Source organism: Homo sapiens, chromosome 5 (genome assembly GCF_000001405.40).
Source record: "Homo sapiens chromosome 5, GRCh38.p14 Primary Assembly".
Lineage (NCBI taxonomy): Eukaryota > Metazoa > Chordata > Mammalia > Primates > Hominidae > Homo > Homo sapiens.
In genome coordinates, this window is record NC_000005.10 from 19,196,743 (window position 1) to 19,210,597 (window position 13,855).

At 39.9% G+C, this 13,855-nt stretch overlaps 2 annotated features.

The window, feature by feature from the left end:
* Positions 12,506-13,007: an enhancer, noted in NCBI's record as "H3K4me1 hESC enhancer chr5:19209357-19209858 (GRCh37/hg19 assembly coordinates)". NCBI's record gives its function as "activates a minimal SCP1, AML or CMV promoter by ChIP-STARR-seq in primed H9 embryonic stem cells {active_cell/tissue: H9 hESC(primed)}" and the evidence as "EXISTENCE:reporter gene assay evidence [ECO:0000049][PMID:30033119]".
* Positions 13,008-13,507: an enhancer, noted in NCBI's record as "H3K4me1 hESC enhancer chr5:19209859-19210358 (GRCh37/hg19 assembly coordinates)". NCBI's record gives its function as "activates a minimal SCP1, AML or CMV promoter by ChIP-STARR-seq in primed H9 embryonic stem cells {active_cell/tissue: H9 hESC(primed)}" and the evidence as "EXISTENCE:reporter gene assay evidence [ECO:0000049][PMID:30033119]".

Below are 13,855 nucleotides of genomic sequence, written 5' to 3' on the forward strand. Positions count from 1 at the left end.
CCATATATCTATTTTAATCTTGTCAAGCCTTTCCAAGGTAAAAGTGATCAACATTTAAAACAGCATTCAGTGGAGGAAAAAACCTACAGAGTTTACAAGGGAACATTTAATTTAAGAAGTATTCTATCTATAGTCATGTTTCCATATTATCCTATGTATCTACTAAGTGGAAGCAGACTGAATACTCAACATATCTGTGTGTTCCATGAGTAGAGGGGTGTTCTCAATTTTCTCTAAATCATTTGCAACATGGGATTTTCAACAAGCTAGTTTCATCTGTTGGTTGATTGTACTTTGTGTGGCAACATAGTGCAAAAAGAAAGTGTATAATGGAGTCAGATAATTTCTATATGAATCCCAGCTCCATTTACTACTCATACAAAATATTCACCCCAGGAAGCCTTAGTGTCTACATCTGTAAAATGGGAGTAATCACAATAACTGTCTCATAATTGTGTGTGTGTGATTATGAAATGAAATGACATATTCAAAGCATGTAACACTGCACTTTGGAAAACTCTCATTGCTTTGATATCTATCATAGCTTGGCAATTAAAGTGAATCCTGTTAGAACCAAACTCTCTTGCCTTCTGCTTACCAATTGCCTGCCCTATATTTAATATCACTCTGTCAGAGTTACAAACATAAAGTACTTAAAACATTAGATAAATAATATCTTATAGACTGGTCATGTTGGCTCATGCCTGTAATCCCAGCACTTTGGGAGGCCAAGGCAGGCAGCTCACCTGAGGTCAGGAGTTCGAGACCAGTCTGACCAACATGGAGAAACCCCATCTCTGCTAAAAATACAAAATTAGCCAGGCGTGGTGGCGGATGCCTGTAATTGCAGTTACTCAGGAGGCTGAGGCAGGAGAATCGCTTGAACCCAGGAGGCTGTGGTTGCAATGAGCTGAGATCGTGCCATTGTACTCCAGCCTGGGCAACAAGAGCAAAACTCCATCTTAAAATAATAATAATAATATCTTATAAACACTTTCTATTACTAGAGATGCGAGCCTTAGTTAAAGTGTTCGATAAAAACAAATCAATGAAATCCTATATATGTTTTAAATATAGTTTTAAAAAATATCCTATATAAATAAATCCTCTATATAGAATATATATAGAATTATATAATATATAATATATAATTGTATATATAGAATAAAATACATATATAAATACTTTTATCCTTTTCACAAATACAATGGACTAAATGTTCCAGATTAAGAATAAAAAATGATGTGCCAAAAGGCTGAAGAGAACTCCAAAACACATAGCTTTAAACTATGCCCTGAATGAAGAGATTAAGAATGTGCAGCAGGCCATTTATTTTTAAATCATCAAATGACACTAAATCAAATATTCCTAGTAATGTATTGGAAAACACACCATCACCATTCATAGAGAATCTATAAATTAATGATGAGCTGTCAAAGCTAAATGATATTCTAAAAGAACAGTTTTGAAAACAATGCTTTCTGATAGAAAGTAAGTAACAAAGAAAATGAGAGGGAGAGAAAGAAGTAACCAAAAGCTTGTAAGTAACCATGAAATGATAATGATTCTTCAACCAGAGATATTAATGTGGGACAAAGTGCTCTATTCATAGTTTTCAGAATTTTTCGGAAGTGAAAAATACAAATACAGTATTAAACATACAGCTGTTCTCTTAAATAACAAGTGTTTATATGCTTGAATATTTTCCTGTTTAAGCTTCAATGAGAAGAGAAAATAAGAATGGGAGGGTTAATGTGACAACCAAAAAAAAAATTTTTTTTGAGACAGGGTCTCACTGTGTCACTCACACTGGAATGCAGTGGTGTGATCTTGGTGTACTACAGCCTCAACCTCCCCTCCTCTGCTCAAGCTATCCTTTCGCCTTTGCCTCCCAAGTAGCTGGGGCTACAGCCATGTGCCACTATGCCCAGCTAATTTTTTTTAAAATTTTTGTACAGATGGAGTTTAGCCATGTTGCCCAGGCTGGAACAACTAAAAATTCTAACAACCATATAACTCTCTGGCTGTTATGTTGTTAGTCAGATATGTTCACATAAGAAATGTTTCCATTGCAATAATGGATCGTTGACTAAGACACGTTCTTAGTGTCTTAGTCAGTTTTGTGTTGCTATCAAGGAATACCTGAAGCTGGGTAACTTATGAAGAAAAGAAGTTTATTTGGCTCATGGTTCTGGAGACTGCACACAAAGCAAGGTCAAAGCTTCAGGCTCCTTCCACTTTTGGCAGAAGGTGAAAAGGAACCTGTGTGTACCAGATATCACATGAAAACAGAGGGAGCAAGACAGAGGGGAAGTGCCAGGCTCTTTTTGACAGCCAGCTCTCTGAAGCTCCTGAGAACTAACAGAGCACAAAAACTCATTTACTTCTTCTCCTCCAAATGTCCAAACCATAGCAGAAAGATTAAAATAATAAAATAAGAAAGAAGAGAAATAAAAACAAAATTAAGGGAAGGAAGGAAGGGAGGGAGGAAGGGAAGAAGATAAAGGAAATAAAAGAAAAATGATTGAGGAAAGCGAAAGAAATAAAATGGACAGACTACTCTTTGAGACCAGATCAAATTCTATTTTTCTGACTTTCAATAGAGTTTGGATTGCAGCATCTAGTGTCACAAATTTCAAATTCAAACCAGACCTAGAAAATGTATTTGATGTGTAAGCATAGACAATTATTTAACTTTGCTACTCTCAATTTTCATATCTTTAATGCACATAAAATGAATGTATAAATAAAATAATAGCTGTTGCAAAGCAATGTTTTCAGATTAAATTAGGTAAAGCCAATACAGAGTGAGCATATAGTCAAATCATTTAAGGGAGCTTGAAATAAAAGCTATAATTATAATAAAATCATGGAAAGGGTAAAGAAAAAGAAACAAACAACTATTTAAAAAAGGAATGGAGAGGGGAGTGATGACAGTAAGATAGTGAAGTAGGAGATTCTAGTCTTCATATCTACACAAAACTAACACTTAGGCAGCTATTTACAGATGAAGATATCTCCGGGAGAGCAGAGTTCAGTTAAAAAGGCACAGCAGCACTGTGGAGGAAAAAACAAACAAAAACTACACAAAAAGATGAGGAAGAATAGTTTTATTGTGTCCCGAATCACCCCATTTCCCTGGTTGTCACAGCTCAGCAATGAGAGAAAACTTCATCAATGACAAGGCTGCTCGTTTATCTTGGGAGAAAAAGATGAGCAGAGTGAGCAACCAGCTTCCCCAGACTTTCAGGCGCTACCCAAAACATGAGCTTTGGTTCCACCTCACCCGGTTCACCGAGGAGACCAGCAGAGATGAAAATGTCTGGAGACTGCTAGGAGCACAGAAGGGTGGGGGCTATCAGCATCAGCAACATGACGAGTGCTGCAGTCCCCAGCCAAGCACAGCAGCAGCCTTCACCACTGAGGACTTCAACCGTCATTGCAGCTGCTGTAAACCCTTCAAAAAAGGGGCCGCTGCTGTGCCACCCTGAGCTTGAGCCAACCCTCTTCCCCTCTGCAACATGCACATCCCTTCCCCTGGAGCTTCAGTCATTCTACCTACATGCATGGTTCAAACCCGGGCTCCAAAGCCACTTGGCAAGCACTGACACCTCAGAAACCAGCACCGCAGGCTGGGCACATAGGTGCTCTGTACACCAGCACCACTGCCATCGTGATGCTCCACACATCCCCATGCTCCAGACGCTGGCTTCACACATCCTCTACATTAAAACCACACATCAGACACTGGTGCCACAGCCCCTCCCAGTGCACCCGCATCCAGGACCGGGCATCAAGGGGGATCTCCTTGGCCCATGACTTCCACCCACAAGGAAAAAGAGAACAGGAGTACTCTAGCAGTGTTCACCACTAAGGGACCTAGCAGACCTCACCACCCAAATGGACACACACAGCTTTGGCCACCAAGGGACTTGACATTCTTTAGTCCATGGAAATTATGTTACGGTGCCATCCCCAGAGCTGGAATCACCACATCTCACCCAGGCTCAGGGGAGGGAGAGATTAAGAGATGTCGGTCAAGGGATATGAAGTTATGCAAGGTAAGTTATAGAGAGCTAATGTATAGCAATGTGGTTATAGTTATAGTTAACAGTACTGTATTGTATACTTGGAATCTGAAATTTGCCAAGATCTTACGTATTCTCACCACACACACAAAAAAGTAAGCATGTAAAGTGATGGATATGTTAATTCACTTGCTTGTGGTGAAGACTGCACAGGGATAGGTATATCAAATCATTAAGTGCTATGACTTATATATATATAAAATGTTTATTGTCAATCATACCTCAATAAAGTTAGAACAAAAAAGGCAAAAAAAGAAATAGAGTAAGGAGAAAATGTTTTTTAGAGAGCCTAGCCTGAGGGGAGCAAGGAGAAATGAGCACAGATCTTTGTGCTAGGCTTGTTGACAGCTACAGCAAGTACATAAACACGATGAGTTTCATGAGTCTAATTATCCTATAAAAGGATGCTTACCACGCCATTAGGGAAAGACAGAGCTTTTCATAGTGTAATAAAGTCTGAGTGAAATTTTCATATAGAGACATGAAACAACAAAATTGATAGTGTCTTTGCAAGCATCATGTCAAAACGTGGATAAAGACAATCAACTCAGAATTATTTCTCAAATTTAAGCAAAGACAATAATGCTAAAACCGAGTTCTCTGAAATTCTTATTATAGGGATCTAGAATATTGTCATTATGTAATTTTCTGGTGAAAATCTGTCAGCTCTAATATTCTATACCCTGACTAGGGCAAAGAGATTTTAATATTCTTCACAGAGAAAGTAAACTCAACTGTGTTCTTTATTTTTTAAATTTATTGCAGTTAAAGACATGAGCCATAGTTGTTTAATATATTTTATATTGCCCTATACAAAGCTATATGCTGATTATTTTTTATTGCTTTTACTATTGTTTTATAACTTCCCTATTTAATGACACATATTGCCTCTTCTAATCTGTTATTGATAAAGCTAGGGAAAATCCAATCCAATACCTGTGTCATCTCTGACTTCTCCATTAACATTAAAAAAACTGAAATTTTTTCCCCCACAAGCATCTATATGGGGATACGTGGGCAGTAGAAAAATGACATTCAACCTTAGTCATTGAGTTATTGCAGTTACATGTTCTGTTATTTGTACATATTACCTGTTATCTGTTACATGTTACAGACTTATGATTACCGTAAGGCAGTTCTTTGGGATTTCTGCTAACATCTGTTCTTCGCACATGACAAATCCCAGAAATATTTCATAACCAAAAAGAAGTTGTTTTGTGTTGGTGGACTTTGTAGTTAGTGACTCGGCCTTGTCACTGATGGATGAGAGAATGATAATATGTGATAAACGAAGCAATCATGAGAACAAATCAGCTTAATACCATTTATAAAGTTATTTTTATAAATTTCAGCTCTCTGGTTTGCTGTCATCACTCAAGTCATTTCCACCAAGAAGATGAAATGCTATTTCTATAGTGTTTACATCTCTTACATCTCTTATAACACACATATCCAACCAACACCCTTTATTTTCTCATCCAGAGGGAATATGATTAAATAATTTATGGAAGGTTCGAGTTGTTCTAAATTATCACAAAGTAAATGAGAGTCATTCTTGAGCTAGGCACAAGGGAATAATGACTTTCTAAGGTTTTCAGAGCCATACAGTTCATAAAAAAGAAATAATATATATTACATTTCTATCCTATTTATATATATTCACTATATTTATTCAGAAAATATCGTCTCTTTTTTCTTGTCCCCAAACACATCCATATAGCCTATGAAATTCCCAATATTCCAGTTGCAGTGAAAAATTAATTTAAGCTGAAATTAGAAGATAATTGTTTTAAGTGACAAATGAATTCTAAGTGAAATACGGAAAATTTGGACTGCATTAATGCAAAAATATAAATGTTATTTTTCCCAATTATTTGTGACTGAATACACAATTAATATACATGTTTCTTCTTGATAACTTCAAGGGTTTAAATGAGAGAAACAAGAGATTTTTGTCGTTGATACACGTATTGGGTTTTTTAGAACCCTCCTCTACAAAATGAGGTGCAAGAAATCAAAAATCTAAAGTAAAATATCTTAATTAATTTTTATTATATGAAAAAGTCCTGGCTACTGGATTAACCAAGTAATTAGGTCAAACATATTGAACAGCCAAAGTTTTTGCATCTTATAACACATTTTAGCTTTTTGGATTTATCCTTACCCAGTCTTTATCATCACAAGATGACTACAGAAATTGCAGGGCTCAATTCTTGACATGAGAATGCTCATATAAAATTAAGTATGCCTCTGCCTTCTTTAAGTTTAAAGAGTCAGTAAACATTTTTCAGAAGTCCCATAGAAAACTTCTTCTCATGTCCTATTTGTCAGAATTATGAAGGATGCTCATATTTTTTCAGCCCAAATCAATCAATAGCAAGAGAAATGGGACATTCAGTAGCAAGAGGAATGGAACTGAAATAATTGGCATAAAGTAGTGTTTCTTAATCTACACTGTATATCATAATCACTTAAGGGACTGTTATAAAAAGTAAAAAGGCTTTCATAAATTCTGAGTTCATTATGGAGTGGGTTTGGTGAATTATATTTGTTTGTGTTTGTTTGCTTGCTTGCTTGTTTTTGAGACAGAGTATCTCTCTGTCACCCAGGTTGGAATGCAATGGCAGAATATTGGATCATTGCAACCTCTGCCTCCCAGGTTCAAGTGATTTTAATGTTTCAGCCTCCTGAGTAGCTGGGACTACAGGTAAGTGCCACCACACCCGGCTGATTTTTGTATTATTATGAGAGACAGGGTTTCATCATGTTGGTCAGGCAGGTCTTGAACTCCTGACCTCAAGTGATCCACCGGCCTTAGCTTCCCAAATTGCTGGGATTACAGGCATGAGACTCCATGACCGGCTTGGGGAATTGTATTTGTTTAAAAATTTCATGTAAATCTGAGGCAAATAAGTAGCTTTGACCAATTATACTCTCCCTGAACTGGTTATTATATTTCCTCACTTGAGGAATTCATACTACAAAAATTTGGGGTTCTCCAGTGGAGAAGAATGGAGGAATTAGCCTAGGCAAAACAAAAACCTCAAAGTGCTGTCATGGAGAATGTAGCAGGAGAAAAATGCCTTTGGGGAAAAAAGACCTGAGAGAGAAAGATATATTAAATGGGGTAAAAGAAATAAAAGGAGAGATGATGTGGATTATGCAGAGGGTCTATCACTGAGCTGGTAGGGGGCATATAAGCCTGAGAACAAACCTTGAAAGTAATTACAAGAAGAAAGAATCTCCAATAATTAGAAAGAGTCTGGTATTTCATAGCCTAGGAGCAAACTGGTGGTTGAGCCAGCATACATAAATTTCCCAAATCTTACTCCAATCAGAATTACCCATTGCCTAAATGCAAGGAATACACTAGCTAGCCCTTCCATTATGGATTTCCTTTATTATTATTATTATTATTATTATTATTATTATTATTGAGACAGATTTTTGCTCGTTGCCCAGGCTGGAGTGCAGTGGTGTGATCTCAGCTCACCGCAACCTCCACCTTCCAGGTTCAACTGATTCTCTTGCCTCAGCCTCCCAAGTAGCCGGGATTACAGGCATGTACCACCACACCAGGCTAATTTTGTATTTTTAGTAGAGACAGAGTTTCTCCATGTTTGTCAGACTGGTCTCGAACTCCTGACCTCAGGTGATCCACCTGCTTTGGCCTCCCAAAGTGCTGGGATTACAGGCGTGAGCCACCATGCCCAACCGTTGTGGCTTTCCTTGTAAGCATCAGCATGTCACTTATCTGAGTACAGAGAATGAATGATACGCGTCCTATCTTTTTTGTCATTAAAATACATGATTCCACACACAATGCTCCAAAGTCCCTTTATTATCAAGGAAGAGGGAGTTGAATCCTGAAAGTCTAGTGGGAAGATGATGGGAATCTCACACCTCTTCCTGCAGCTATAGATGATGCAGTATAATTAAAACTTTCTGAACTGAAGCAGTGGTTGATGACACCTCCATGAGGGTTAAATACTGGTTTATAATATGACTGTTCTGAAAGCATTCAAACTTAAAATGTTTGTACAACTTAACATGATAAAATTCAACAAAAATTAAGTGCAGAAATTGTAGAGAAGTGAATTAGGAAGGAAAAATTGCTCAGTAATCAGGTAGTCTGGTATTTGATTGCCTAGGAGGCACAAAAGAGACACATATACAAAATGAATAAAAATGTGAACAATGATAAATATTCAAGAGCATATGAACAAAGGGAAAGATACATCTTACCAATTATTCTCAGCTTTGTATGTGTGTGTAAAGAAAAAAAATGTTAAATTATTATTAAATCAAGTGAGGTTGCGATTATATATTTTTGTTCTTAATATTGGTCTATGCCTTTGGACATTTGTTTTTTATGCCCTTTTATGTCTTGAATAATAAGAATTCAGACATAGTAAAGTCACCATTGAAAATTTGTTTCTGATCATAAATATTCCTTTAATGCATTAAGAAACAGTGTCAAAATGAATTTTGTTAATATTAAGACACAAAAATACTGAAAATCAACATAAGCTCAGAAATCTAATGTGTAAAAAGGATATTAATTTTCCACCTATTCCACTTCCAGCAACTGTCTTAGGTTTTTCTTGTAATATATTTTGCTTCCACATTTACTGTTTTCACAGGAGGATATTTGTCTGATTTGAAGTACTTAGCCTTAAATCAGTGTAATTTTAACAATTATATAAACTAAACAATTTGCATATTCTCATTAAATCCTAAAACATTCAATCCTAAACATATTAAATTTTATATTCATTCAATCCTAAAACATATTATATTAAATTATGAATATATATTAAATTTTATATTCATTCAATCCTAAAACATTCAATCCTAAAACATATTAAATTTTAAAATGAAATTAAAAACATGTAGAGGCATAACAAGATGGCCAAATAGGTCACTGATTGACCTCCCCTCAAGAATACCCAATTGGACGACTATCCACATAAAGGAGCATCAAATCAGGCGAAAGATCACAGTACCTGGTTTTAACTTCATATTATGGAAAGAAACACTGAAGAGTGTAGGAACGCGTGTTGAATCACTTACATTCCCCCATCCACGTTCCCAAACAGTGGGTGCATAGTACAGAGAGGGAATCTGTTCTTGGGGGAGGAAGAACACAGCGATTGCAGGACTTTACATTGGAGCTCAGGGCTGCCCTGTCACAGCAGAAAGCAACAGCAGGCAGAACTCAGCTGGTGCCCACGGAGGGAGCATTTAGACCAGCCCCAGCAACTGGGGAATCATCCATGTCAGTGTTCACAACCTGAGTTCTGGCAAGCCCCAGAACTGCAGCCCATCGTGCTCTAGAGTCCTAAATAAACTTGAAAGGCAGTTTAGGTCACAAGGACTGCAATTTTGGGTCAAGTCCTAGTGTTGTGCTGGACTCAGAGCCAGCAGACATGGGGGGAACATGAATTAGTGAGACACCTGCTATAGTGGACCAGAAAGTGCTTGTGCCTTTCCTGCCTCAAACCCAGGCATCCAGGAGTGTATCCTTCCCTCCACCTGAGGAGAGAAGAAGGAAGAGTAAAGAGGACTGTGTCTTGCATCTTGGATACCAGCTCAGCCACAGTAGGGTAGGGAACTGGGCAGAGTTATGAGGATCCCATTTCAGGCCCTAGTTTCTGGACAACATATCTAGACACACCTTGGGCCAGAAGGGGATATGCTCCCTTGAAGGTAGTGACCCACTTCTGGCAGGATTCATCATTTAGGGACTAAAGTGCCCTTTGTCCCTGCAAAATCAGTGGTATCCAGGTAGGACCCACCGTAGGCTTTGGATGAGACTCTGAGATACACTGGCTTCAGGTGTGACCCAGCACATTCCTAGCTGTGGTGGTTATGGGGAGAGACTGCTTCTCTTTGAGGAAAGTAGAATGAAGAGTAAAGGGGATTTTATCTTGCAGTATAAGCACCTGCAGAGCCACAGTGGGGTAGAGCACCAAGTTGGCTCTTGGCTTCCCCAATTCCAAGCCTTGGCTCTCAGACAGCATTTCTGGACCTTCTCTGGGCCACAGGGAAAATCACTGCCATGAAGGGAGAGTCCCAGGCCTGGCAGCATTCACTACAAGCTGACTGAAGAGCCCCTGGACCTTGAGTGATCATCATCAGTAACCAGGCAGTACTCGTTGTGGGCTTGGTGTGGTGGTGGACATGGAGAGCGACTCCTCTGCTTGTGGAAAGGGAAGATAAGAGTGGGAAGAACTTTGTCTTGTGGTGTGGGTGCCAGCTCAGCTACAGAAGAATAGAAAAGCAGGTAGAATCCAAGTTTTCCAACTCCAGGCCCTGGCTCCTAGACAGTATCTCTGGACTCACCCAGAGCCAGTGGAACCGATCACCTGGAAGGGAAAGACACAATCCTGACTGGCTTTGCAACTTGCTGAGTATAGAGCCCTAGGGCCTGAGTCAACATAGGTGATAGCCAGGCAGTGATTGCTGTAGGTCTTAGGTGAGACCCAGTACTGTACTAGTTTCAGGTTTGATCCAGCACAGTCCCAGGAGCAGTGGCTGCAGAAGTGCTGTGTCACTTCTCCTCAACTCCAGGTAGCTCAGGAAAGGAAGAGAGTGACTTCATTCATTTGAGAGAAATAAGAGATTAGAACAAGAATCTCTGCCTGGTAGTGAAGGGAATTTGTCCAGATCTTATCCAAGACCACAAGGTGGTACGTCAAGAAATCTGCAAGAGCCACAGCATTACTGGGCTAATGGTGACCTTAATGCAGATATGGCTGCAGAGACAAAAATATCAGATTTATAACCCTCAAGTCCTTCTGAATGCCTTGAAAGCTATTTCAAGAAGGTTATACACATACAAGCCCAGACTGCAAAGAATAAAATAAACGCTAAACTTTTTTATGTCTGGACACCTATGAACATTCACAAGCATCAAGTCCATCCATGAAAGCATGCATTCACCAAATTAAAAAACACACTAGGGACCAATCCTAAGGAGACAGAGATATGTGCCCTTTCAGACAGAGAATTTAAAATAGCTGTTTGGAGGAAATGCAACAAAATTCAAAATAACACAGAGAAGATATTCAGAATACTATCGGATATATTTAACAAAGAGATGAGAAGAATCAAGCAGAAATTCTGGAGGTGAGAAATGCAACTGACATGCTGAAGAATGCATCAGAGCCCCTTACCAGCAGAATTGATTAAGAACAAGAAAGAATTGGTGATTTTGAAGACAGGCTATTTAGAAATATAGAGTCAGAGGAGAGAGAGATAGGGGTAGAAATTTTATTCAAAAGGGTAATAACAGAACTTCCGAAACCTGGAGAAAGATATCAATATTCAAGTATAAGAAGGTTATAGAAGACTAAGCAGATTTAAACCGAGTTAAACTACCTCAAGACATGTAATAAACAAACCTCCAAAGAGAAAGATTAAAGAAAGGATCCTAAAAGCAGCAAGAGAAAAGCAATAATACATGTACAATACATACAATAACATACAATGAAGCCCCAATACATCTGGTAACACGTTTTTCAGTGGAAACCTTACAGGCCAGGAGAGAGTGGCATGACATATTTAAAGTGCTGAAGAAAAACACTTTTATCCTACAAAAGTGATGGCAGTGGCAGCCTGCCTGGAGCAGCCCCTGCCAAGATGGCAGCTGCAGCAGGGGATGCGTAGCCAGGGTTGCATGGTCCATGGAACCTGTAAGACCTAGGAACAGGCAGGAGCCCCACCCCCTACTGAGTTGGCAGGGCAGGAGCCCATGTTCGCAGGTGCAACCGCATGCATTTGCTCAACTGCAGCTCTGGATCTGGGCATCCCTGCCCTCTTGGGGGCCCGGGAAGCCTTCCCTGCCACTGCATGCTCAGAAGTGCCTGCTCTCACTCCCAGACCTCTCCCTACTCATGGCATCTGCTCTGATTTCAGAGCAAAATTGAAGCTGAGCCCTGGATCTGTCCTAACCCAGCAGGGTGTGTGCACACTCAGGGCAGCTCTGACATGCCAGACACCCACCACCTTTGTCCCCTCTGAAACTTTGGGAACTGATGATTGTGAGAAGGAGGCCGAGGGCACTGAGGGCAACTTGGGTGTGGGTCTGCAGGTGCCCCTTACCCCCAAACAGCCTGGACACTGTTGATGGCGGGAGGCAGACAGGCTTCTGGGCAGAAAGGGGCAGGTCCCTGGTGAAACCTTATCTTTAAGTCAGGGACAGCCTGAAGCCTGGGGGCCTGGCTGCCAATTCCAGGTAGACTCTGTGGCCTGGAGGGAGAACTTACGGTGCTTTTCCTGGGCCCTCGCATGGCTGTCCATGGACAAATCAGCATGCTCTTCCTTCCTTCTGAGCCCATAAAAACCCCAGATTCAGCCAGAGTTACACAGACATCAGGACTACCAGCTGTAGAAAGGAAATATCCACCACGGGTCTCCCTTCCACTGAAGGCTGGAAACTCATCAGGACAACCTGCCTGCAGAAGGAGCTACCCACTTCAGATCTCCTGAGAGCTCTTCTGTCACTCAGTGAAGCTCTTCTCCACCTTGCTCAATCTCCAGTTGTCCAAGTATCTCATTCTTCCTGCATGCAGGACAAGAACTAGGCACTCACCAAATAGTAGGACTGAAAGAGCTGTAACACAAACAGGGCTGAAACTTGCCTGCTGCCCACCACATTGCAGGTGACAAGAAGGAGAGATGAGCTGCAGCCCTTCATGGTTCCCAGGCCTAAGGGCTCTCTGAGCCAGGGCTGTGATGCTCTCTCCAGGGCTCTGTGATTCCTGGTATCTCCAAGCTTTCAAGTGCCACCGTCTTCCCTGGAGCCAAAGTGGAAGCTGCTTGCATTATGCCTGATCCAGCTGCAGCCTTACATGGATCCAGTGCCTATACTGCCAGCTGGAGCTGCCTGCCCTGCCACAGCTGGCACACCTGGCTGTGTGCAGTGGCCGGATGCCACACTCGCTCACACACCCATTGCCGCTCCATACCTGCCTTGCCCTTGGCAGGCATGGGATCTGGGCTGGTAGCATGATTCAAGCTCAGCCTTCCAGGTCGAGTAGGCTGAACAAGCCCAGAGGGCCTGAGCAAAACTTGGGCAAAAGTGCCACTGGCCACAGAGTTTTCCAGCTGAAAAAACTACACCCTAAGGATCCTGTGACAGTAGCGTATCCAGTCAAAATATCCATCAAACACAAAGGAGAAATAAATAATTTCCCAAACAAAAGCTGAGGAATTTCATCAATACCAGACCTGTCCTACAATAAATGATATAGAGAGTTCTTCAATGTGAAAGAAAAAAGATGTTAATGAGCATAAGAATTCACGTGAAGGTGTAAAACTAACTTGTAATAGTATATACATAGAAAAACACAGAATAGAATAATACTGTAATTACTAGTGTCAACTACTCATATCTTGATTAGAAAGACTAAAAGATGAACTAATCAAAAATAACTACTACAACTTTTCAAGATACAGAAAGTACAAGATATAAATAGAAACAACAAAAAGTTAAAAAGTAGAGCGTAGAAGTTAAAGTGTAATTTTTATTAATTTTCTCTTTGCTTGTTAGTTTGTTTGCTTACACAATCAGTGCTCAGTTGCCATGAATTTAAAATAGTGAGTTATAAGATATTCTGTGTAAGCCTCATGATAACCTCAAATAAAAAAAACTATAAGAGATACACAAAAAATAAAAAGCAAGAAATTAAAACATGCTACCAGAGAAAATTACCTTCACTAAAAGGAAGACAAGAAGGAAGAAACAAAGGAGGAGAAGACCA